This window comes from Homo sapiens, chromosome 17 (assembly GCF_000001405.40).
Source record: "Homo sapiens chromosome 17, GRCh38.p14 Primary Assembly".
NCBI classification, from domain to species: domain Eukaryota; kingdom Metazoa; phylum Chordata; class Mammalia; order Primates; family Hominidae; genus Homo; species Homo sapiens.
Window position 1 is genome coordinate 38,179,386 of NC_000017.11, and position 21,894 is coordinate 38,201,279.

General features: G+C 52.0%; 1 protein-coding gene and 1 pseudogene across 2 annotated transcripts in view; both read right to left on the minus strand.

The window, feature by feature from the left end:
• Window positions 1-2,273: 2,273 nt before the first annotated feature.
• Window positions 2,274-13,170, minus strand: TBC1D3 (TBC1 domain family member 3). The gene is made up of 14 exons (NM_001123391.4): window positions 13,060-13,170; window positions 11,573-11,645; window positions 11,325-11,410; window positions 10,002-10,041; window positions 9,439-9,519; window positions 8,888-8,995; window positions 8,449-8,558; window positions 7,147-7,195; window positions 6,483-6,603; window positions 5,675-5,769; window positions 5,225-5,290; window positions 4,662-4,761; window positions 4,139-4,291; window positions 2,274-3,157 (listed from the first exon to the last, which is right to left on the minus strand). The coding sequence occupies exons 2-14, from the start codon at window positions 11,642-11,644 to the stop codon at window positions 2,589-2,591; spliced, it is 1,650 nt and encodes a 549-aa protein (NP_001116863.3). The 5' UTR covers window position 11,645; window positions 13,060-13,170; the 3' UTR covers window positions 2,274-2,588.
• A 3,184-nt stretch (window positions 13,171-16,354) lies between these two features.
• NPEPPSP1 (NPEPPS pseudogene 1) overlaps window positions 16,355-21,894 on the minus strand; it is a 61,510-nt pseudogene continuing 55,970 nt past the window's right edge. Inside the window, exons 9-12 of the transcript NR_036750.2 lie at window positions 21,720-21,834; window positions 18,161-18,325; window positions 16,982-17,086; window positions 16,355-16,555 (exon numbers count right to left, since the gene is read on the minus strand). The product of NR_036750.2 is annotated as an NPEPPS pseudogene 1 (transcript). The remainder of the gene's footprint in view (window positions 16,556-16,981; window positions 17,087-18,160; window positions 18,326-21,719; window positions 21,835-21,894) is intronic.

Genomic DNA, 21,894 nt, shown 5'->3' on the forward strand with positions numbered 1-21,894 from the left:
ATCTCCGAGGGGGATGCTTTCTCCAGGCAGAGGCTGTGGCCAAGCGATCGGGGGGCTCAGAGGGCTGCTGGGAAGGGGTGGGCCCCTCTCTCCCCAGAGGGAAACTCCTGGGGACCTCTCGAGCACCCCTGCCCATCCTTTAAACATAAATTCATAAATACAAACAAGTAGGCCATTCACAGAAATATATAAAATATGTCATAGGACGGGTGGCACTCTCATATGGCAATAATTATGACAGGGGCCGGCAAATGACCTGCGTGACCCGGAGTGGCCTGAGCACTGACTCCCAAATGCCCTCCATAGGATGTTCTGCATCCCCGAGACCCTTTCCTGGGTCCTCCTGGGCCCTACCACCCCCTAGACCATCCAGACCTCAGGTCATCCCCCTGTCTGTTGACAGAGTAGTCTCCGTTCCTGAATGTGCTGGTCACCAGCAACAGCAGCTGCTCCTCCTCCGGGAAGCTCAGCCTATACTTCTACATGCAGAGAACCTGGACGGCACCCAGGTGGACCTAAGCCTTCAGCTCCCAGTAGACGCTCTGGGTTTCCTACCCTGCCCAGACACTCTGGGCTTCCCCCCACACCTCCCCTCGGCCGGGGCTCCTGTGTGCATCTGTCTCTCCCAGTGCCCAGCACAGGCGTGGAACGGAAGAGGTGAATGGACCGATTTGAACACATCATCCTGGATTCTCCGTTCCCTCTCAAGCCCTGCAGCTAACCCATCGGCAAGCCCTGGAGGCTCTGCCTCCAAAATCCTGCCTATCCCATGTGCAAACGCCTCTCACCACGTCCACTGCTATTTGCAGTTGTGTGTGTGTGGAAATACTTCCACAAATTTGGAATGAACAGGTCACAGCTGTGCCTGGAGGGAATGGCCAGGGAAATGTGCCCTCGCCTTGCTGTTCTATCCAGGCCCACCCAGCTGAGGATGGGGGACCTGCCACCACTCTCCTGGCAGTTCCGGACTCCTGGGAACCGGCAGGTGAGGACCCAAGAGTGTTTTCAGTGACCCGGCTGACCTGGTCATCCGTCAGTCCCACCTTGGCCTAGGCCTCTATACAGCACAGATCACAGCTCATTCCATCCTGGCATTACACTGGCCTGTGCCCTGTCCTCAGGGTCACATCCGTCTCCCAGAAGCCGTGCAACCCTGGAAAACCCAGGTCTAACAGTCAGCTTCCTCCTCCGTGCATTAACAATGGCGTTGACGCCTGCTTTGCGGCACGCTGGGAGGGGAGAGGGAGGTGTATGCTGGAGAGCTCCCCAGGGGCAAGGCCTGGCTCTGCGTCACCCACTGTCAGATCCTGAGAGCCTGGGGCTGGCCCAGCACGTGGCCACCGTTCCCTAAGAGTTGGATTTCATCCCTCAGTGCTGAAGGCAGGGGATAGAGCTTAGACAGACCCCCTGCGTCCTGTCTTCTTTATCTACAGCTTTCTCATCCTTGCCCCTTTCACGTGCACCCGGCAGAGCAGGTGTTCACTGAGCTTGAGCAAAATTCAAGCTAGAGCAGCTGATGGATCTTGAGGCCTAGATTCACTGTCAAAGTGTTTCTCAAACGGTGCTCTCCAGAACACCAAGGAAAACTCATTGACTGTGTAAGTCTGAAAATCCCTGCCCACCGGTCTACCTTTGTGTATGAGCAATCAGCTCTACCATTCAGCCCAGGTGTGTGTTTGCTGGACCATGTGGAGGAAGCTGAAGAGACGTGAGCTGAAGGCAGAGGGTGAGTCCAAGGTGGGATCTTGGGACAGGTACGAGAAGTTAGGCAAAAATGGGATAATTCTAGCCTTCATAACCTTAGATAATAGTTCACATTATTATTTAGTTAATAGAACTGTACCCACATTAAATTTCTTAAATTTTTTTAAGAGATAAAGTCTCACTCTGTCACCCAGGCTGGAGTGCAGTGGTGCAATCATGGCTCACTGCTTCCTGGAACTCGTGGGCTCCAGCAATCCTCCTGCCTCAGCCTCCTGACTAGGTGGGACTATAGGCACACGCCACCATGCCTGGCTAATTTCTTTGACTTTTCTCTAGAGACCGGGTCCACCTAGGTTTCCCAGGCTGGTCTCAGACTTCTAGACTCAAGTGAACCTGAACCTCCCGCCTCGACCTCTCAAATTGCTGGGATTACAGGTGTGAGCCACCACACCCGGCCTAAATTTCTTATGTGCCATGGGACTGCAAAACATCATTATTAGGGGCAGCTGGATGGAAGGTATAGGAGGATACTATAGTGCCTTTTCAATATTTCTGTCTAAAATCTAAAATCATTTCAACAGGAAACATTTATTTCAAAACATGAAGGTGGTTATCCTTCCATGAGTTTGAAGTACAAAGGCAGGCTCACGGTGTCGTCAGAATTCAGAACGATGGTCGTGGGGCTGGGGGTGCTGGGAGGGGCTGGGCATGGTTGGCTTTGTGATCTGGGGTCTGGTGTGTTCCATCTCTGAATCTCTCTCGAGCTGCACTCTTTCTTAATACATTTTCATAAGTTTAACCAAAAATAAAACGAGGATGCGAAGCTTGCTTGGGTTGTTAAGCCTAGGGAAATTATCCAGCCATGAGCCCTGGCCCAGATGCTTCTAGAAGCCTGGAGGGAACTGAGAACTTTCCAAGTGGAGGCCGCAGAGGCAAGGCCCTGAGGTGGGAGCACACTGCTGTTCGTCCCTAGCTCTGAAGGGGGTGCCCTGGTCGGAATCAGTGCTGGGTGCAGCGAAAGCCGATCTCACCCGCTCCGCAGGGTGTTCAGCCTGCCAGCAGGGGGCCAGCTGGTCCTCCTGGGATATGGCACGGACCCAGCAGCTCTGCCTGAAATCATAATGGCGGAACCAAGGGCCCTCTACGTCCAGGTCCGTTGGGAGGCGGGGCATGGAGTTCCACTGCAGGAATCTCCAGGAACCCTGAGGTCCTCCCTGAGCCAGGGCCGGGCTGGGCACACCCTGAGTGCCCACAGGGTAGGTGTCTTCCCGGACAGCCCCACCAGGACAGGGTGTGGAAGAACGAGGTGCCCGTGGCGGGGAAGCTGACCAAATGGGCCGCGGGAACCGGGCTGGTGGGCCTGGAGGGGCCTGCCTGTCCCCCTTGCAGAGGGTCTTCCCGCCACGTGAAGCCGGCACAGGCCTGGATGCCGACGACCCTTGCTCGGGTTTGGCTGAAAGGAAAACAGACGCGGTCAGCATCTCCAGTGAGCCCACGCAGGCCTTTCCGGGCTGGGCCCCACCTGCCTGCGTCTCTGGAGTCCTCGGGGTCTCTGTGTGGCCCCCGTGGCCTGACACCGAGGACACGCCTGTAGTCTGCTGATCCCAGAGGGAGGGGTGCATGCTGCCTGGCGTGGGGAAGCTGTCGTGGCATGGCGGGTGGCTCCTGGGACTGCCCCCAGGGTTCAGACTGGCTGGGGGCTTCCTGCCACACACCTTCGTCCCAGGGCTGTTGGGCCTGGGATACGGCCCCCAGTCAGAACTCAGGTGGGAGGGGCCTTGGATGTCACCCAGCCCCTTGTCACCTCACGTGGGGACCCGTCTCCGCAGTGGGTGATTGGGCCCGGACGTGGGTCACCCTCTGCCCTCCTGGGCTGCCCAGTCCATGCCAGGACTGACCGTTCCCACTTCTGGCTGAACTCTTGGCTCTGGCTCTGGGCCCGGGGTCCCGCCTGTGCCCTCTCCCTGAATGCTCTGTGGGTCAGGGACACGGATTCCCTTGTCTCCCTGGCTCCAGGCTTCTTGTCCTGGCAACCTTGGAGGAGCGTGCAGGAGTGAGGGGCCTCTGCTGCTCTCTGAGGCTGTGGGTGCTTGCAGGGAGGGGCGGGGTCTCCCACAAATGGGTCTGGGCTCGTCTAGTAACTTGGAGGGCCCTGCGAGGGGGAGAGGGAGACACCGTGGAAAGTGGGAGGGGGCTTGTTGGAGGGTCTTGCCCACATCCCCCTCCTGCGTGCACAGCATGTCCAGTATACACGCACTGAGCGCCTGCCCTGAGGACCGGTGGGCCTCCTGTACTTTCTTAGAGTCCAGGAGGAAGAGGAGGAAGAAAAGGTGAAGAGGAAGGCCCAGGTAGTAGGGTTGCGGGTCCCGGGCACTCCCCTACTACTGACTACCCCAGAGGGTGACATGGGAGGGGACATGGCACTGGAGCCCACCTGGGGGTGGCAGGTCCCCCTTCTTTCTTGTTAGTTTCTTCATAGAGGCCCTAAGATGCTTGAGCACAGTGTCCTCATCCCTGGCCCAGGTATCAACGAACCGGTTGCAAAAACGTGCCCACGGGCCACACCTGGACGTCTTCGTGAGGCGCTCTAGGGACAGGGTGGATATCAGGCCAGGGGAGTTACCTGGGAATGGTCACAGCTCATACCCCGTGGCCACTTCAGTCTCCTACTGGGCGGTGCCGGATCCTTTTGTGGCCACCCCAGGTGTCCAGATATACACAGGAGACTGTGGCTGGGGGGCGATCCGGACAGGGAAGTGCTCACCACACTCTCGACTTTCATCTGGGTCATGTGGGGGATGGGCTCGGTGTCACAGTGTCCTGCCCAGCCCACCTGGCCAGACCTCCCTCTGGGCCAGAACAGAGGATCATGAGGACAGTGTGAGGAAGCTGCCCTCGGGCCAGTCGGGGTCTGACCCCAGGGCTCCCCAGGCCCCGCTGGGCACACGTAGACTTACTCTGCTGAACCTTAAAGGCGATTCTTGTTATCGGCATCAACGCCTGTTCGCCTTCTACCAGATACACGTCCCACAGGCGCAGGGTGAGCCCGAGAGAGATCTGTGGGGACAGCAGGTGTGAAAGAACCTGGTCCTTCCAGGCTGGGGCTGGTGGCTCGAGCTGCGCACACTGGGGCTTCAGTCTCCAGAGTCAGTGACCTTCCCCATGAGGGTCGCCTGAGCCCTCCAGGACGCTGGGTCAGACAAGGTCTTGAAGCTCCTCATGGGGGGCACTCATTTGAGTGGGGATGTGGCTCCTGGAGAGAGGGGCTTGCCCAGGGCTTGAGGCTTCCCTGAGCCCTCTCAAGTCGGGTCCTGGCCCAGTCTGCCCATGAGGCTGGGCCTGAGCCCCAGCCATGGCCCTGGGATGACCCCCCTTGGGCAGAGGGTTTTGCTTGTGTGTCCTTTGGGGACCCGCCTGAGCCTCCTGTGGGCTGGGAGTGAGCCAGACCCCCGGGCTGGGGAAGCAGGGCACTGCAGGGCAAGGAAGGTCCCTGAGCCAGGGTCTCCCTATGCCTCCTTACCCCGTCAATCAATATCCGGATGAGGCAGCCTAACGGGGAACACTGCCCACATAGATCTTTCTTGTCCTGATGGAAGCAACAGAGGTGCTCAGGCCACTGGGCTGCCCTAAAAACCTCCCTCTTCCAGGGCCTCTGAAGACCCTTCCCCTAGTGCAGAACACTGGGCGGTGTCCAGAGCTCCCCACAACACTGTCACCTTCCCACACTCCCGGTGGACACACTGCCCTTTGCCCTGCTCTGCGGGAGCTGGGCCCCCATCCCTGTGCCTCTGTCTCCTCCAGGGCAGGAAAGGAAACCAACTCCCAGCCCATGGAGAACCCGACGTCCCAGGTCAGGCCCTGGCTGGGACTCAGCCAGTCACCAGCCCCACGAGGGGCTCCAGCCCCCCTGCTCCTACAGTCCCACGGGAGGCAGGGCCTCTGGGAAGAGCTGAGGGGACCATAAACTCACCTGATGCCCCATGGTCTTGGGTTGTGACGTGGCTACCACATGCTCCTGTTGGTCTTGGAGCCCCTGGACGGTCCCGCCATTTGGGCTGTGAAATCCTGAGAAGCCCCCAGCCCATCATGAAATCAGAGCCTTCCCCCAAGATGTGGAGCCATCAGCTGTAAGAGCTGGGCAGCTGGAGAGGCCCCCAAACCCCAAGGCCTCCCACCCTCCCATCTGGTGACCCCAACATGCGGCCTTTACCCTGGGGAGGTGGGGCGGGAACATTCCCTGGAGCCTGGCTGGAGGTTCCCCTGGAGGCCTCCTGGGCCAGGGTGCAAAAAGGGCAAGCCTGACTTTCAGGCCACGACAGGGTGGCCGGAACTGGGTGGGCGCTGGGCTTCCCGGTCATCTCCTGGTAGTGGGGTCGGGCCAGGGAACAGGGGATGGGGAGATGCTGCCACCTGGGCTTGGTCGGCCCGTTCGTGGGCACCGATGGCAGCAGGAGCCCGGGCAGCTGGAGGGCAGGAGGACTCTCAGGGAGGGGAGAGTCAGCTGCACAGAATCAGAGCCGGAGGGCGTGGCTCCAGGACACAGAGGGTGGCCACGGGGAGGATGAGATGCCCTCTGCTGATGGGGATGAGAGGCGTCTGATTTGGGCTTTGGGGGTCAGCCGTGGACTCCTGTGGGACCCTCAGCAGAGACATCCTAAAGTCTCCCAACAAGCTGGCGACACAAGGAGGGTGCCTTGGCTGAAAGCTGTGATCACCTGGCCAGGGTGGCCATCCCCAGGTCTGGCTGCAGGAGGTCCCCGGGGCAGCTGTTCACTTACCCTGCAGGGAGTGCCTCTCACTGGCCAGCAGCTGCACCAGTGCCCAGAATGCATCCTCCTCAGGAAGATAGAGGAGGAACAAGGCGGCGATGTGGCTCAGGTCCCTGCAGTAGCCCACCTCCTGCAAGAGCCAGAGTCACCATGGAAGGACATCACCTGGGAGGGCTGAGGTCACCCGGGAGGACTCATGTCATTGGAGAGGGCAGAGGTGACTGGAGAGGCTTCCTCTGAAGGAGAGGCTTCCTCTGAAAAAGAGGCTTCCTCAGGATGCACATTCATTTCATGACAAGAGCCAAGTCCATCAGGCACTTCAGCACCTTGTCCAAAATGTCTGCTGATAGCACCATCCTGTGTGCGATGCTGCCAAGCTCCTGGGCTTTGGGGCAGCCCCAGGAGGAGGGCGTCATTTCTTGTTCTGAGAAGTGGTGGTCAGGCCCAGGTGACACCAGGAGTCCAGGCCCTGACTCCTTTGTGTCTCAGCTTGACCCCTTGAGACCACCCCCTTCCTTGGAGGTTTATGCCAGCGGTGAGCTGACATCCTACCTCCTATATCCTGGTGGGTCACAAATACTAACTTTAAAAGAAGCAACGACACCCCCACCAGACACCCACTCCTGTCAATATGGAAATATGGCCCGGGAACCTCACTGCCGGGAATACTCACCGGGTTGTACTCCTCATATGCCAGGAGGATGTGGAGTAGTTCCCGCTGCCTAGGAAACAGAGAAAGGGGGCTTTGGTTTGTTTTGTGCAGATGTTGTTAATTTCACTTTGTCTACAAAGCCTAACAGCAAATCCCATTTCAGGTTCAGATGTTTCACCAGATAAGCAGTGAGCTCTTCAGGGCCTGAGACTCTTGAAGAAATGTTTCAGTAAAATCCACATCTGTGACATGCAAATAGCCCAGTTGTACAGTGACTTGCCTGATCCTTTTCACTCTGAATGATTTTTTTTTTTTTTTCAGTTTGCATACACGCCAGTTCAGTCTGTGGGTGTACAGTTCCTCCACGGTTCCAAACCAATGTGCAGAGTCTCCCGGCCACCGCTCCAGCCCCTCCTGGGGCGACTCCTTCATCCTCCAAGTCTCCAGGGTGGCCCCTATGCACCCAGCCTCTCCCCGATCCGTCAGCCTCTGGCCACCCAGACTGCTTCTCAGTCCCTGTGGTTTGGCCTTTTCCAGAATGGCCTAGGAATGGGAATCCTACGGTGGTAGCTTATTGGGTCTGGCTTCTGTCCCTCAGCAAAATGCATCTAGGATCCACCCACGTTCGTGCGGGCATCACCGGCTCGTTCCCTTTTCTCACTGGGTCTTCCGTTTGAAGGGAGGACCAGCCTTGCTCTCCCCATCCCCGTGTTGAAGGCCGTCCCCGAAGGCTCCGTGTGTGAGTGACGAGGAGTCAAGCAGTGAACCTGGCATGCTGGTTTCATGTGGATGTCAGTTTGCAAATCAGTGGGTTCAATATCTGTGACACTTTGGGGATGTGTGGTTCAAGTCCATCGAGCTTTGTGAGCCACTGCCCAACGGGCTGCCAACGTGGCTGTGCCATGTCATGTTCCCAGCGGACCTGGATGAGAGTTTCCAGGACCCCTAATTCTCCCAGCATTTGGTGCTGTCACTGTTGCCTGGCGGGGGCTCATGGGCCCTCTATCCTGCCACCCTCCCGTGGGTCCTACCATGGGTCCCCATGGGTCAGGGAGAGCACCCTTCACCATTGTGCATGATTTTGTTTGCTGCCTTCCATCTCCTCAGGATCCTCCTGGGTTCTGGCCCCACATGTTCCAGTCTGGCCCAGGGCTTGGAACCAGGGAGGTGCTCGGTTCATGGTGCCGGCTGCTCCCTGGGCCGGGAGAGCTCTTGGCAGCTGTGTCATCCCTCCTGGGTGACCCTGGCTTCTGCTCCGGGGAAGCCCCCATCCCTCTCATTCACCCCATCTCTGCTGGGACCCTGTGGCTCCCGTAGGCTTACTTGGTTCCGTATCGATCCCTGAAGAATATATGCTTCCTTAATGTCCCGCTTACGTCCCGGTCGATGCGCTGGATGTGCTCAGATGACCTCTTGCCCTTCTCCTTCATGATCTGTAGGGCAGGGCCAAGAGGAGGAAGCAGTCTCAGAACAGATGGAAGACTCCCTGCCCCCAGTGGCAGTCAGCCCACAGTCAGCACTTCGGGAAGGAAGGACAGAAGGAAGGTTTCCTTCTGCAGAAAGCTGCATTTTGGCTTGTTACTGAAGCCAGGGAGGGTCACCAGAGCTGAGTTTGTCTGTGGTGACTGTGTCACCATCTGTGCCCAGGGTGTTCATCTGACCTTCACCCCCAGCTCCCCAGGGTGGTCTTGACGTTCCCTCCAGCTGGAGACCTGGGCCCCGACACGGCCTGTCCTGTTTGTTGTGCTCTGGCTGAGCGTACCTGGTATCTTCCGGGGTTTTTCAACTTCATTTCCTCAGTGTTCAGGAGGACTGACCACATCGGGCCCCGGATGTTCATGGGCATTCCCTTGTACGCTCGATCTATGAGCTGTGGGCAGAAAACGATCTGGTGTCACAGGCCACGGGGTGACCCCAGTGAGGACCAGAGCCCGGGGATTCTGGAAATTGTCGGTTTTGGCCCCATGATTCCTCAGTAGAGGTGAGATCAAGCTGGGACAGGGTCTCCCTTCCCAGGACTGAAAGAGTGGATGGACACTCAGAGTCGAAACTCTGATCTGAACCTTTTCCTTCCTTCAGGTCCCCAGGGCATCCCTAGCCTTGAGCTCCGGGTAGTCCCAGCCCTAGATTCAGATTCCCTCCCTGCAAGGTGACGCTTGCACGAATAGGCAGGAAATCTGGCGACCAGGCCTGCAGTCCTCTGGGCGAGGACAGTGTGCCGCCCACCCTCTGAGAGGCTGATGGTGCCAGGCCACAGCCATGGGTGCCTGTCCCCTGTCTCTGCAGAGAGTGCTTCCTCCCTCCACACGTTACCTTTCTGCTGCTTTTGTATTTCTCCCAGTCTCCCAGCATATCCACCCACTTGCTCTTTCGGCTGATCTCCCGCCGAATTTGCTGTCAAATGAGGCATGTTGGAGTTAGCGGAGCTGCCAGGCTTCCCAGAGCCGCCCGCGGATGCTGGGTCTTGGGCTCTGGAGCCCTGGTGGGAGCCAGCTGGAAGGAGCCAGGGAAGGGCAGACCTCAAGGGCTGAGAGCCTTTGAGCAAATGAGCACCAGTGGGCTGGCTTTGGGACCCCGGGATGTACCATCCTCAGGCCACAGACACACCAGTCTTAGGTCCCAGCCTCTAGGTGGGGTCCTGACACAAGCGCGCAGCCACCCCCAAGCCAGGACTGTGGTTCTCCTTTTGGAATTTTATCAAACTGCCAAAGTGAACAGCAACCTGGGGTCAGGTCCAGCAGGGACTGCTGCCCCTCCCAGTGACAGCGTGTTGCCCTCACCCGCCACCGCTCAGGCCAGCTGCTTCCTCTGCCTCACTGACCACCCGCCCAGTCCCTACGTCCCTGGACCAGCCCCTCCACGCATCAGGCTCTTACCTTCGCCTCCCGCGCAGTCAGAGGAGGCAGCTCCGTCTCACTGTAAGGCAACCCAGGCAGAGCTGAGGAACTGCACGGGGCCTGGAGCGGCCCCAGCCTGGGTGCCGACCCCCAGAAAGGACTGGCTCTGTCCCTTTCCAGCTCAGGGCTCAGCCCAGGAGAAGGCACAGGGAAGGGAGGACAAGGGCCTTCCTGTGGGGCTGACTCCCAGGAGGGGCAGGACCTGGGAGAAGAAGGAGTGTAGGGACAGCCTGGCCGGGGTTACTGGGGCCCCTGGCGTGGGGGGCGGTCAGGCTGCCCAATGGGGCTGCCCGTCCTGGACTCGAGGTGGTGCTTTCTGCTGGAGCTGAGAAAGGTTAGCCCTGAGATGGGATGGGGGCCGCCCAGGGTGGGCGACCGGGCCCTGACAGGAGTCCCTCAGGGAGTGACCACATCCCCCCGCCAGGGTCAAGGGAGCCTGCCCTGAGACCTGCCCGGTGTACTCTGGCTGCACCAGGGGCCCACCCCACTTGACAGCCCCAAGGCCCTTGCAGGTTCTGACCTCCCAGCATCCACCTGCCTCTCCCTGCACCCGAGCCACACACCCTGCGTTTCAGAAGTGGCACGGCTCGTCAGCTCCCTCCCGCCCTACCTCCCCAGGGATCCTCTGTCTCTCCATCCTGTGATCCCTGAGGGATGGGCTCCTGGCTGGGCTCCTCTTACCCGGCCCCAGATCCCTTCCCAGCACCAGACCCAGGTCTTTAGCCGCGAGCCCTGCTGCCTCCCTGGCCTCACCGTGAGATGCCCAGAACGGGGCCCTGCCCATCTTCTCCCCCGTTCTCCTAGGGCTACAGCCCCCATTGTCACCATGCCTTTTCCCCTCACGGGACAGTGAGGGCTGTAGCTCTAGGGGAATGGGGGAGAACAGGGGCAGGTGGGCCCTCAGAGACCTGCTGCACAACAGCCCTGAGGCTGGGCCAGGAGTCCCCTCACCCTGTGGCCATAACCCTTGCATCTCACCGGGTTTGTCTCCAAGTAGACAGGGCCAGACCCTCAGGCTGCCCCGCTCCTCTTGTGCTCACTTGCCGACAGAACTGCTGAGCGCCCAGGGGCCTGACCTAGCCCAGTCTCCATTCCCACCGGCTCCCTAGATGGGCCCCACACCTCTGGCCTAACAACCTCGGGCTGGACCTGCAGGGGAGTCAGGGAGGAGTTCTGTCCCTGGAAAGGAGGTTGACCCGACCTGGTGAGACATGTCCTGCGTCAGAAAGGCCTTTCTAAAAGCAAACCCATCCCTGAGCTGAGACAGGTGCTTTAGGGGTGAGGGGAGTGCAGAGGACTCACTGTACAATCCCCAAATGATCGACGTTGTTGTTGTAGCTTCGAAAAGGCTTAGGCCCCTTGTCCTCTGGCAGCCCAGCTCGGTGTCCCTGTAGCCCAGAGGGAGCCTTGGTGAGGGGTCCAAGGTAAAGGGTGCAAGGGCCTGGGGGCATTGGCCACCCGTCCCTGCCCTGTGCTCCTAGGGAGCCCAGGACCCTTTGACCAGGGCACACTGGAAGAGGCCTCCCTCCAAGAAGCAGACCGACTTGTACCTTTTCGTATTTCATAATGATGTCCTCTCGCTCTTGTGCCCACCAACTGCCCGCGACCTCTACCACGTCCATCCTGTGAGACAGAATTGTCTAAAGGTCACACCGTACGCGGCGGCTTCGGAGAACACCTGAACCGCTCTCGCCGGGCTCCCAGATGCTGGCTGGCTGCGTAACCCCCATTCCACCGCCGCCCCCAGGGAAAAAGGGGCCAGACCCAGTGGCCCACAGCTGCTCCAGTCTCTGGAGTCTCAAGTCCCAAGCAGGGGTGGGCATCTTCCCAAGGACTTGAGTACAGTGGGACCTAGACAGAGAATCCTGTTGTCCCCCAATGCCATGAAATGGGGACACACTGGCCCCAGCAGGTTGAATGGTTTCCACCTGCCAAGGGTGAAGGGCCCATGATGGGCTATTCCAGGGATGTGGAGGCAGACTGGGGTCAGCGACCAGAGGTCTCTGTGCAATCGGCCTCCTGGGATGCTCAGGGCCTCAGCGATGCCCAGTTTCCTACAGGGAACAAGATCTCTCCCGACTGCTCGGTTCTACTCCGCTCATCACTTTGGCTACCGTGGCTCTTCAGTCTGAACAGTGAAGCCACTTTAGGAATAACGCCTGTTGAGCAGGAGGGTGTTGGGTTTGGGGGATGAGAAAGATCTATTGTACGCATGGAAACCACGTCTCTCGCGGAGGGACTGTGGAGTCCACCATTCTGAGCCGTCCCAACAGGAGGAGGCTTCATTTTCCTGGGTCACTGAGGAAGAACAGTGGGTCCTTGGTCCTGGAGAACAGCTGGATGGACCGTCCCTCCTGGGAATACTCGAGGCAAAAGGAGGGCGAGGCCTCAAGAGGACCACGCAGAGCAAGAAATACCTGGGGAGAACCCTAGTGCCCGGACCCCTTTGAACACAAGGGAAGATAGTCTCCCCTCAGCCAGCCCTCCAGGGCTCCTTCATTTTCCACAGCTGCCCAAGGGCAGCAGGCTCCCCCGGACAAGGGACCATGTGTGTTCAGTGGGGCCCACAGCGACCATCAGGACCCAGCTTAGGGCACAGAGGTGTTCTGAGGACCGTCAGTGGCTCTGTACCAGTGGCTCTGCCAGGACCAGGCTCTGCCCCATCGGGATGGGAAACCTGGGCAGATTTGGGATCTAGGGCAGGGAGGTCACAGGGTTCAGGCCTGAATTCCAGCACAGCACACGGCAGGGCTGAGAGCAAAACTCAGGGTCATGTCCGGATTCCCAGGCCGGTTACTGCCTCTCTGACCCCAGACGTCTCATCTGTCGAATGGGGACATTTGGGAACAGCACCCACTCTACGAAGCCACCATGGAGACGAAAGAGCCAATCGTCTACACGGGCAGTGTAGAACGGGCGCCTGGTGAGTGCTCAGGGATGACCCTCCTCGGTAGCTGCCCCACAGAGGCCAACACCGCCCGCACCGTAGCCACTGCCCCCAAGTCCGCCTGGAGGGAAGAGAGCAGGTCACGCTCACCTGATTCTGATGAATCAGCTGGCCTGGGTCATGCCTCTCAGGGAGAAAACCTTTGAGTCCACAGAGCTGCTCACAGATACCACTGCCTGTGTGTAACTGCTGTAGACCACTGAGGCAGACCAGAGAGCAGATAGGTGCTAAGCACCAGTGACATTCTGAGGTCATGGCACGAATCACAGTGGGGCCTTGCCCGGGTCAGCAGCGCCCAGAGTCAGGGTCCTCCGCTGCCTGAGGCGTCAACATGCCTGCCTGCAATGTGTTTGTGCACGTGCGTGCACATGTGTATGTGGGTAAACACATCTGTGCACGTGTGTGCTGCTTCTCTGGCCAGGCCCGGCTGCCCCACTCATGTGTGCACCCAGTTCCTCATCACTGTCACCCCCGAGGCCCAGGGCCAGCATCAGAGCATCCATGGCTGCTCCCTAACCTCAGCCCTCCCCGCCCAGGGTGGTCCTGGGATACACATAGCGGTGGAGGGAAGTGACTGCTGCTGTTGGATCTCAGAATACAAAAGCTAGTACTATTACCTAATGGTCTTTTTAGTGTCTCTAATGGTATCGCTTTTTCATTTCTGATATTTTAACTGGGTATTTCTCTCCATGACCCTTGGATATTCTAGCTAGAGGATCCTGTGGGGAAAGTGCCGGGCACACAGTAGGGGCTCACTCTTCTAGACATGTTATCTAAAACCTGGTTCATCTGTCCTTCCACACAGGGCCTAGGGGATGCCAAATTCCAGGGGCCAGAAAGAGCTTGGGATAAAAAGAAACTTCAAGGGGACGGCTTTGACCTGGGCTGAGTCTGCCTGTGCCATCCAACTGGAGTCTCAAGTCCTGAGGCAGGACGTCCAGATGCCCCAGTGCAGGGTCCTCCTGATCAACACCTGCTCCCCTGTACTCATTAGCAACCTCACCCACCCTACTCTCAAAGCACACTTGGCTCTCGTATCCAGGAGCTCTGCATCTGTAGATTCAGCAACAGCAGATGGAAAATATTCAGAAAATAAATTGGACGGTTATGTTTCTATTGAACATGTGCAGAGTTTGTTCTTGTCATTATTCCCTAAAGAATCCAGTATCACGACCATTTATGTAGCATCTGCATTGTATTACACATCATGAATAATCCAGGGATGGTCTAATGTCTACGGGAGGATGTGCATAGCTGATATGTAAATACTAGGCCATGTTATGTCAGAGACTTGAGGATCCATGGATTTTGGCATCCCCGGGGACCCTAGAACTAATCCATGGATACCAAGGGATGACTGTATAAACTCACTCAGGAAGGCTTCTCATTGGAGGAAGGTCCCAGTTCAGGACACACAGGGACATCTCCCTGGACTACTGTCCATTCATCCATCCATTCATCCATTGTCTCCCCCCACCCCCGCATCTCGGACTGTCCCAGTGACAGCCCTAGCAAGAAGAGACAAGAAACAAGTTCACGTTGTCCAGTTTTGAGGTAATGGAAGAAGTTGCACCAGTATGAGAATAGTGGGTCAGTTTTCTACAGGATGCAGAAAGCATATCGGGCAGCCTCGGGGTGCGGAAAGGAGCCTGGCCTCTCTAGCAGCCACACAGGCCTGCAGTAGGATGGGGCTGTGGCTGGCCATGTGGATCACTTGGGCCTCATGAGGGGAAAGGAAATACCAGGGGGGCAGAAGAGGAGCATGGGGGCAGCTGGTTGCCTAAGGAGAAGGCACCTCAGGGAAGGGGACTGTATTCATTTGTTTTCACACTGATGTAAAGAAATACCTGAGATTGGGTAATTTATAAAGGAAACAGGCTTAATTGACTTGCAGTTCCGGAAACTTACAATCATGGAAGAAGGGGAAGGGGAAGCAGGCACCTTCTTCACAAGACGGCAGGAGGGAGTGAGTGGAGAACCAGTAAGTGCCACACTTTGAAACTATGATCCTCCTACCTCAGCCTCCCAAGTAGCTGGGACTACAGGCACATGCCACCACACCCAGCTAATTTTTGTACTTTTTATAGAGACGAGGTATTGGCATGGTGCCCAGGCTGGTATCAAACTCCTGGACTCAAGCAGTCCACCTGCCCCAGCCTCCCAAAGTGCTCGGATTATAGGCATATCAGCCAGCTGATGGAGCATCTTTAATATCATATTTTTACTGTAACTTTTCTATATTGAGAAATGTTCAGGTATACAAATACTACTGTGTTATAATTGCCTATGGTATTCAGTACAGTAACATGCTGTACAGGTATTTTGTAGCCTAGGAGCAACAGGGTATATACCGTGTAGGCTAGGTGTATATAGCCTAGGACATACTGTGTAGGTTTCTGTAAGTACATTCTATGATGTTCACATATTGATGAAATTGCCTGACAACATATTTCTCAGAACATATCCCTGTTGTTAAGCAACACATGACTATTCCCTTGATTTTTTATTTTTTCAGAGACAGGATCTTGTTCTGTTGCCCAGGCTGGAGTGCAGTGGTGCCACGATTGCTCACTGTAACCTCAAACTCCTGGGCTCAAGTGACCCTTCCCACTTCAGCCTCCTGAGTAGCTGGGACTACAGGCACATACCACCACACCCGGCTAATATTTTTGTATTTTTTGTAGAGGTGGGGTCTCGCTATGTTGCAAGCTGGTCTTGAACTCCTGGGCTCAATCAGTCCTCACATCCTGGCCTCCCAAAGTGCTAGGATTACAGGCGTGAGCCACCACACCCGGCCCAGACTCTTTAAGTTGGCAAAATATTCAGTTATGGAAAGCAGAATGCTGGAGGATGACCAAAGGGATAATGAGTCCTGATTCATGTTGACCCTATGACTTACTGCAGGTTGAGTGTCCCTTATCCAAAATGCGTGGGACCAGCAATGTTTTGAATTTCATATTTCTTTTGGATTTTGGAATATTTGCATTATACTTACTAGCTGAGCATCTATAATTGCAATATCCAAAATCTAAAATGTTCCAATGAGCATTTCCTTTGAGCATCACGTTGGCACTCAAAAAGTTTCAGATTTTGGGTGGGAATTGAACAATGAGAACACTTGAACACAGGGCGGGGAACATCAGACACCAGGGCCTGTCATGGGGTAGGGGGCTGGGGGAGGGATAGCATTAGGAGAAATACCTAATGTAAATGACGAGTTAATGGGTGCAGCAAACCAACATGGCACATGTATACTGATGTAACAAACCTGCACATTGTGCACATGCACCCTAGAACTTTAATTAAAAAAAAAGAAAGAAAGAAAAGAAAAAGTTTCAGATTCTGGAGCATTTCAAATTTCAGATTAGAGATATTCAACCTGAACACAGCTTCAAATAAGGCTAATTTATTTATTACATGGATCCTGACCTTGAGTTAAGTATTCAGAACAAAAATAAAATGTCCCAGCCTGGATAGAGTGACAATACTTTCTCTCCATTTCTATCTCAAGCTATTAAAGATTACCTGCGGCAGCATTCTTTTGTTGGAACTTGGTTAAATACATGTTCATTCCTTTCTTAAAGTCCTGAGAAAACACAATTTTTAAAATCCAGGGAAGTCAGATCTCAGAATTTATAGTATATTTGTATATTAGTAATCAAAAACAAATTTACTCAAATACTCAAGTATCAGATACACTGAAACACATATATCCTTCTGATGCCTACTGCCTTTTATTTAATAATGCGTACTCTATGCCTTCTATTCTTGCTCTTAAGTTTTATAACAGCCTCCCATTTCCACTCCCAAACACACCTGCACATCACTCATCTAAGAGACCACAGTAGTCAACTTCAAATAATTGAATTCTCATTCTTTTTGGTCATTAAAAAAAATGACAAGCCAGAAACTATTTGGGAACTTAATCCAAATAAAGTGAGACTTTTTTTCATGCAAAACTCTTATGATTTCACCATGAAAGAATGAAATACTTAAAGTTTTTTTTTTTTACCTTATCCCCAATGTAGTCATGCAGCATTCGGATGACAGATGCACCTTTGCTATATGATATAGCATCAAATATCTCATCAACCTCAGATGGATGGCCCACACTGACCTGGCAGACAGTGTGATTCAGGGTTATGACAGGAAGCAGATAGCCTGTAATACTGAATTACATAAAACGCTTTCTAGGAAAACCCTTCTAACTTACATTTTTCTGCCTTTAACTCACTCATAATGTATAACGATGGTCCTCAAAAAAATGTAGTAACTAATAATAATAAAGTTGAATAGAACATGATTCCTGTCATCCCTTAGAGCTTGGGTTCCAGTCCTGGCTTTGTTCTGCTGGGAAAGAAGCCACTATGGTTCTGTTTATTTTTGGGGTAGTTGCAGAGGAGTGATGAGGAAGACATGGAGGTGAAGAACATTAGATTTCTTGCACTAATTGTAATGAATTACAATTATATGGGAGCCTAATTAAATATGTTGAAGTAGGATTATAACTCTAGTTCTTTAGATACAAAATTTATATATATAAACTGAAGTAGGGATAGGCTAAGTCAAGAGAATTAAAGTATTCACAAAACAGACCCTGACAATAAAATATGTCCAGAATTTTCCTTGACATAAACAATGGAACCATAGTGTTACCCAATAGGTATGACTTCTCCCATACTACTCTTTTTCTTTTTTTTGGCAGAGTTTTTTGCTCTTGTTGCCCAGGCTGGAGTGCAATGGCACGATCTCGGCTCACCGCAACCTCTGCCTCCCAGGTTCAAGTGATTCTCCTGCCTCAGCCTCCCGAGTAGCTGGGATTACAGGCATGCGCCACCGTGCCCAGCTAATTTTGTATTTTTAGTAAAGACGGGGTTTCTCCATGTTGGTCAGGCTGGTCTCAAACTCCCGACCTCAGGTGATCCACCCGCCTCAGCCTCCCAAAATGCTAGGATTACAGGCGTAAGCCACTGCGCCTGGCCAGACCAATTTTTTTTTACTGCCTACCTTTAAAAGAAATGTTTAATTAGAACTTAGACTTACTAGCTTTTCAAGACTAGAAATATGAACCAGTAAAATCACCCATGCTATTTTCTCTTCTTTTCAAAGTCCAAAGTACCTATGTAACAAATTACGTATTTCATTGTAAATGAGAGCAGTCATAGGCTAATGGTTAGAAAGTATGGCTCACTTCAATAGGATGGCTGTTATCTAAGGCGTCAAGCTCCTGGGCACGGGTGTAATCAGCAGAAACAAACTGAGTCCAAATATCATACTCTGGGAAGCAGTGGTCTACACACAGATATTCAATCCAGGATGCAAAACCTTCATTTAACCAAAGATGAGTCCACCATTCCTAAAAACAGAAGATGAAAATACTTAAAGAAATTGAAATGATTGTCATTCTACTAATCTAAAACACTCACATGTCCCTTCCACTATATTCCAAAACTCACAATTTAATGACCTAAAATTCAGTTCAAAACATTTCGCAAAGAACTCACATTTCTGAAAAAGAGAGAAGACTAAAAGAGATGTCAAGAAAGGCCAACTGGTGATATTAGAATTATATCTGAGGGTCATTTTCTTTTCCTTTCTTTTTTTTTTTTTTTTTTTTTTTTTTTGAGACAAAGTCTTGTTTTGTCACCAGGCTGGAGTGTTCACCAGTAGCTGGGATTACAGGCATGTATCACTATGCCTGGCTAATTTTTGTATTTTTAGTAGAGATGGGGTTTTGCCATGTTGGCCAGGCTGGTCTCAAACTTCTGACCTCAAGTGATCCACCTGCCTCGGCCTCCCAAAGTGCTGGGATTACAGGTGTGAGCCACCATGCCTGGGCCAAAGGATATTTTCAAAACATTGTAAATAACTTCTCCCCCAAACCCAGACAGGGTCTCATTCTGTTGCCCAGGCTGGAGTGGCAGGGGCACCATCGTAGCTCACTGCAGCCTTGAACACCGGGGCTCAAGCAATCCTCCCGCCTCAGCCTGCCAAAGTGCTGGGATTACACACGTAAGCCAGTGCACTCAGTCCTAAGTAACTTTTTAAATACCAAAGGTAGAAAAGGAAGAAGAGGGAAAAAAAAAATAAGCCCATATATGGAAAAGGAAAAGACAGCAGATAAATATAGGCAAATAGAGGTGGAAAATATAATCACGTAGAATTTAGTATAGTAAAGGATTATCTCTGAAAAACAAAAACAGAAAACTATCAGAGCCAAATAAAGAAAAATGGAAATGACTGGGGAAAACCACTCACTAATGAGTTGAATGTTCAAGAGAAACTGAGAAAGAGTACTGCTTATATAAAAATTATGTGAAATTAAACAAAAATGTAGTTCAGTAATGAATGGTGTTTAAGCACTTATGGAATATGAAATTATCACCTGTTAAATAAGAATGCATAGTAAATGGAATGGACAAAGAATATGAGTGACAGATAAAATCAGTTTTTAAAAAATTTTAAAGATCTTAATCTAAATTTTATTAAAGTTGATTAAGCCTATTAGTGAAAGAAAGCAGGCCAGGCACAATGGCTTGCTCCTGTAATGCCAATACTCTGGGAGGTCAAGGCAGGAAGATCACTTGAGCCCAGGAGTTTGAGATAAGCCTGGGTAACACAGTGAGACTCCATCTCTAAAAAAATTAAAAAGTAAAAAAAAATTAGCTGGTCATGGTGACACACACCTGTGGTCCCAGCTACTTGGGAGGCTGAGGCAAGAGGATTACATAAGCCCAGGAAGATGAAGCTGCACTGACCCATGATTGTGCCACTGCACTCCGGCTTGGGTAACAAAGTGAGATCCTATTCTCCATCCCCAACCAGTCCCCCCAGAAAAGGCCAGGTGTGGTAGCTCATGCCTGTAATCCCAGCACTTTGGGAGGCTGAGGTGGGAGGATTGCTTGAGCCCAGGAGTTTGAGACCAGTTTAGGCAACAAAGTGAAACCCTGTCTCTACAAAAGGCAATACAGTGAAACCTTGTCTCTACAAAAAGTGCAAAAATAAGCTGGGCATGGTGCCACACACCTGTAATTGCAGCTACTCAGGAGGCAGAGACAGGAGGATTGCTTGAGCCCAGAGGTCAAGACTGTAATGAACCATGATTGTGCCATTGCACTCCAGTTTAACTGACAGAGTGAGACTCTGTCTTAAAAAAAAAATTATTTTGATATTAAGTGATAAGTGGCTATTTGCCTAGTAGCTTCCTAAAATAAACTAGCATAAAATGAAACTTATTTTCCAACCTATCCCTAAGCCCTTGGAATTTCAGTTCTAATAACTAGAATAGTTACATAAAACCAGTAAAAAGTTGTTTAATAAGAATGTACACATTTCCCCTACTAAAATTTATTGCTTGTAGTTTCAAAATAAAATCATAAAGTTATCTCAAAGCCAAGCAAAAAAATTATTTGGTACGAAGTAGCAAACTCGCTGCATTAGAAGAAAAGGCCATTTCTTCACATATTTGAATACAGGCACCAACACATAGTTCCACATGAAATTATATTTCTTTTTTTTTTTTTTTTTTGAGATGGAGTTTCACTCTTGTTGCCCAGGCTGGAGTGCAGTGGCGTGATCTCGGCTCACTGCAACCTCTGCCTCCCAGGTTCAAGCGATTCTTCTGCCTCAACCTCCAGAGTAGCTAGGATTACAGGTGCATACCACCACGCCCAGCTAATTTTCTATTTTTTTTTTAGTGGAGATGGAGTTTCGCAACATTGGTCAGGGTGGTCTCAAACACGTGACCTCAAGTGATCCACCCGCCTCGGCCTCCCAAAGTGCTGGGATTACTGGCGTGAGCTACCGTGCCCGGCCTGAAATTATATTTCAAAGAATTTTTTTCACCTGTAAAATTTTAAACATCCAAAATAAAAGGAAAAGATTTATTTTCAAGGGTTGACTTTCTGTAGAAACTCTCTGAGACACGTAACAGTTGATAAATGTCTTACATTCTTATTTATATAACGTATGGACTCAATCTACATTCAAATCAGGTTCTGCTCTTTGGCAGCCTAAAATGTCAGGGAATCTAGCTGGCTCCAGAATATCCAGTTATTTAATTGCAGAGGTACATCTAGTTCACTTATTAAATCCTGTGCTCCCAAGCTCTAACACAGTTGGCATTCATAAATAGTATTTACTTAGAGTAAGAGTGAAAAATCAGGACTGAAGGACAGAGATCATTACTGCAAACATTATAAGGATTTCAACAGAACAGCTGGAATTTTAATACAGCTTTATTCTGCAGTCACTCTGCAGTTTGTTTACTTTTATTTCATTAAATTTCAACTTAACATTTTAGGCAATGAAAAAACTGACTCCTAAAAACATTTCTCTCTAATTAAAGATCAGTCTGTTATTCATCAGGTTACTTTTCAGCTGTGAGTCAGATTAACAAATAAGATTCAAGAAACTACAGTTAGCCTGGAATCTCACTGCATGATTCATTCATCTACACCTAAGAGGAATCTTTTCCTCTCACCCAAATTAGTATCTTGACTTTTCCCATTTGCAGACAAATTTTAGAACAGTTTAGGAAGTGTCTGTTGAATAAAGACTGTCCATATGCCCTTGTTCAATGCAGAGATTCTGATAAGCCCTTTCAAAGTGGACCTTTTAAAATAATACTTTTCTATCACTCAATTATTTTTTGGCACAGTGTTGCAGCCAAACTTGAAATACTATGTAGCCAAAATAATGTGGAGTAGGATGAAGATAAATATATTTGAGCACTTAAAAATATTAAATACCATAGTAACAAGATTTCCAAACCATTGATGGGCAAGTTCATGTCCCACAACCAGAGCAACCCACTGGCGGGATGAAGAACAGGAATTTTTTGGATCAATAAGCAATGCAGTCTCCCTATGTTTAAAAAAAAAAAAAAGAGAAACAAATTTAAACAATAAAAGTGGGCATGCATAA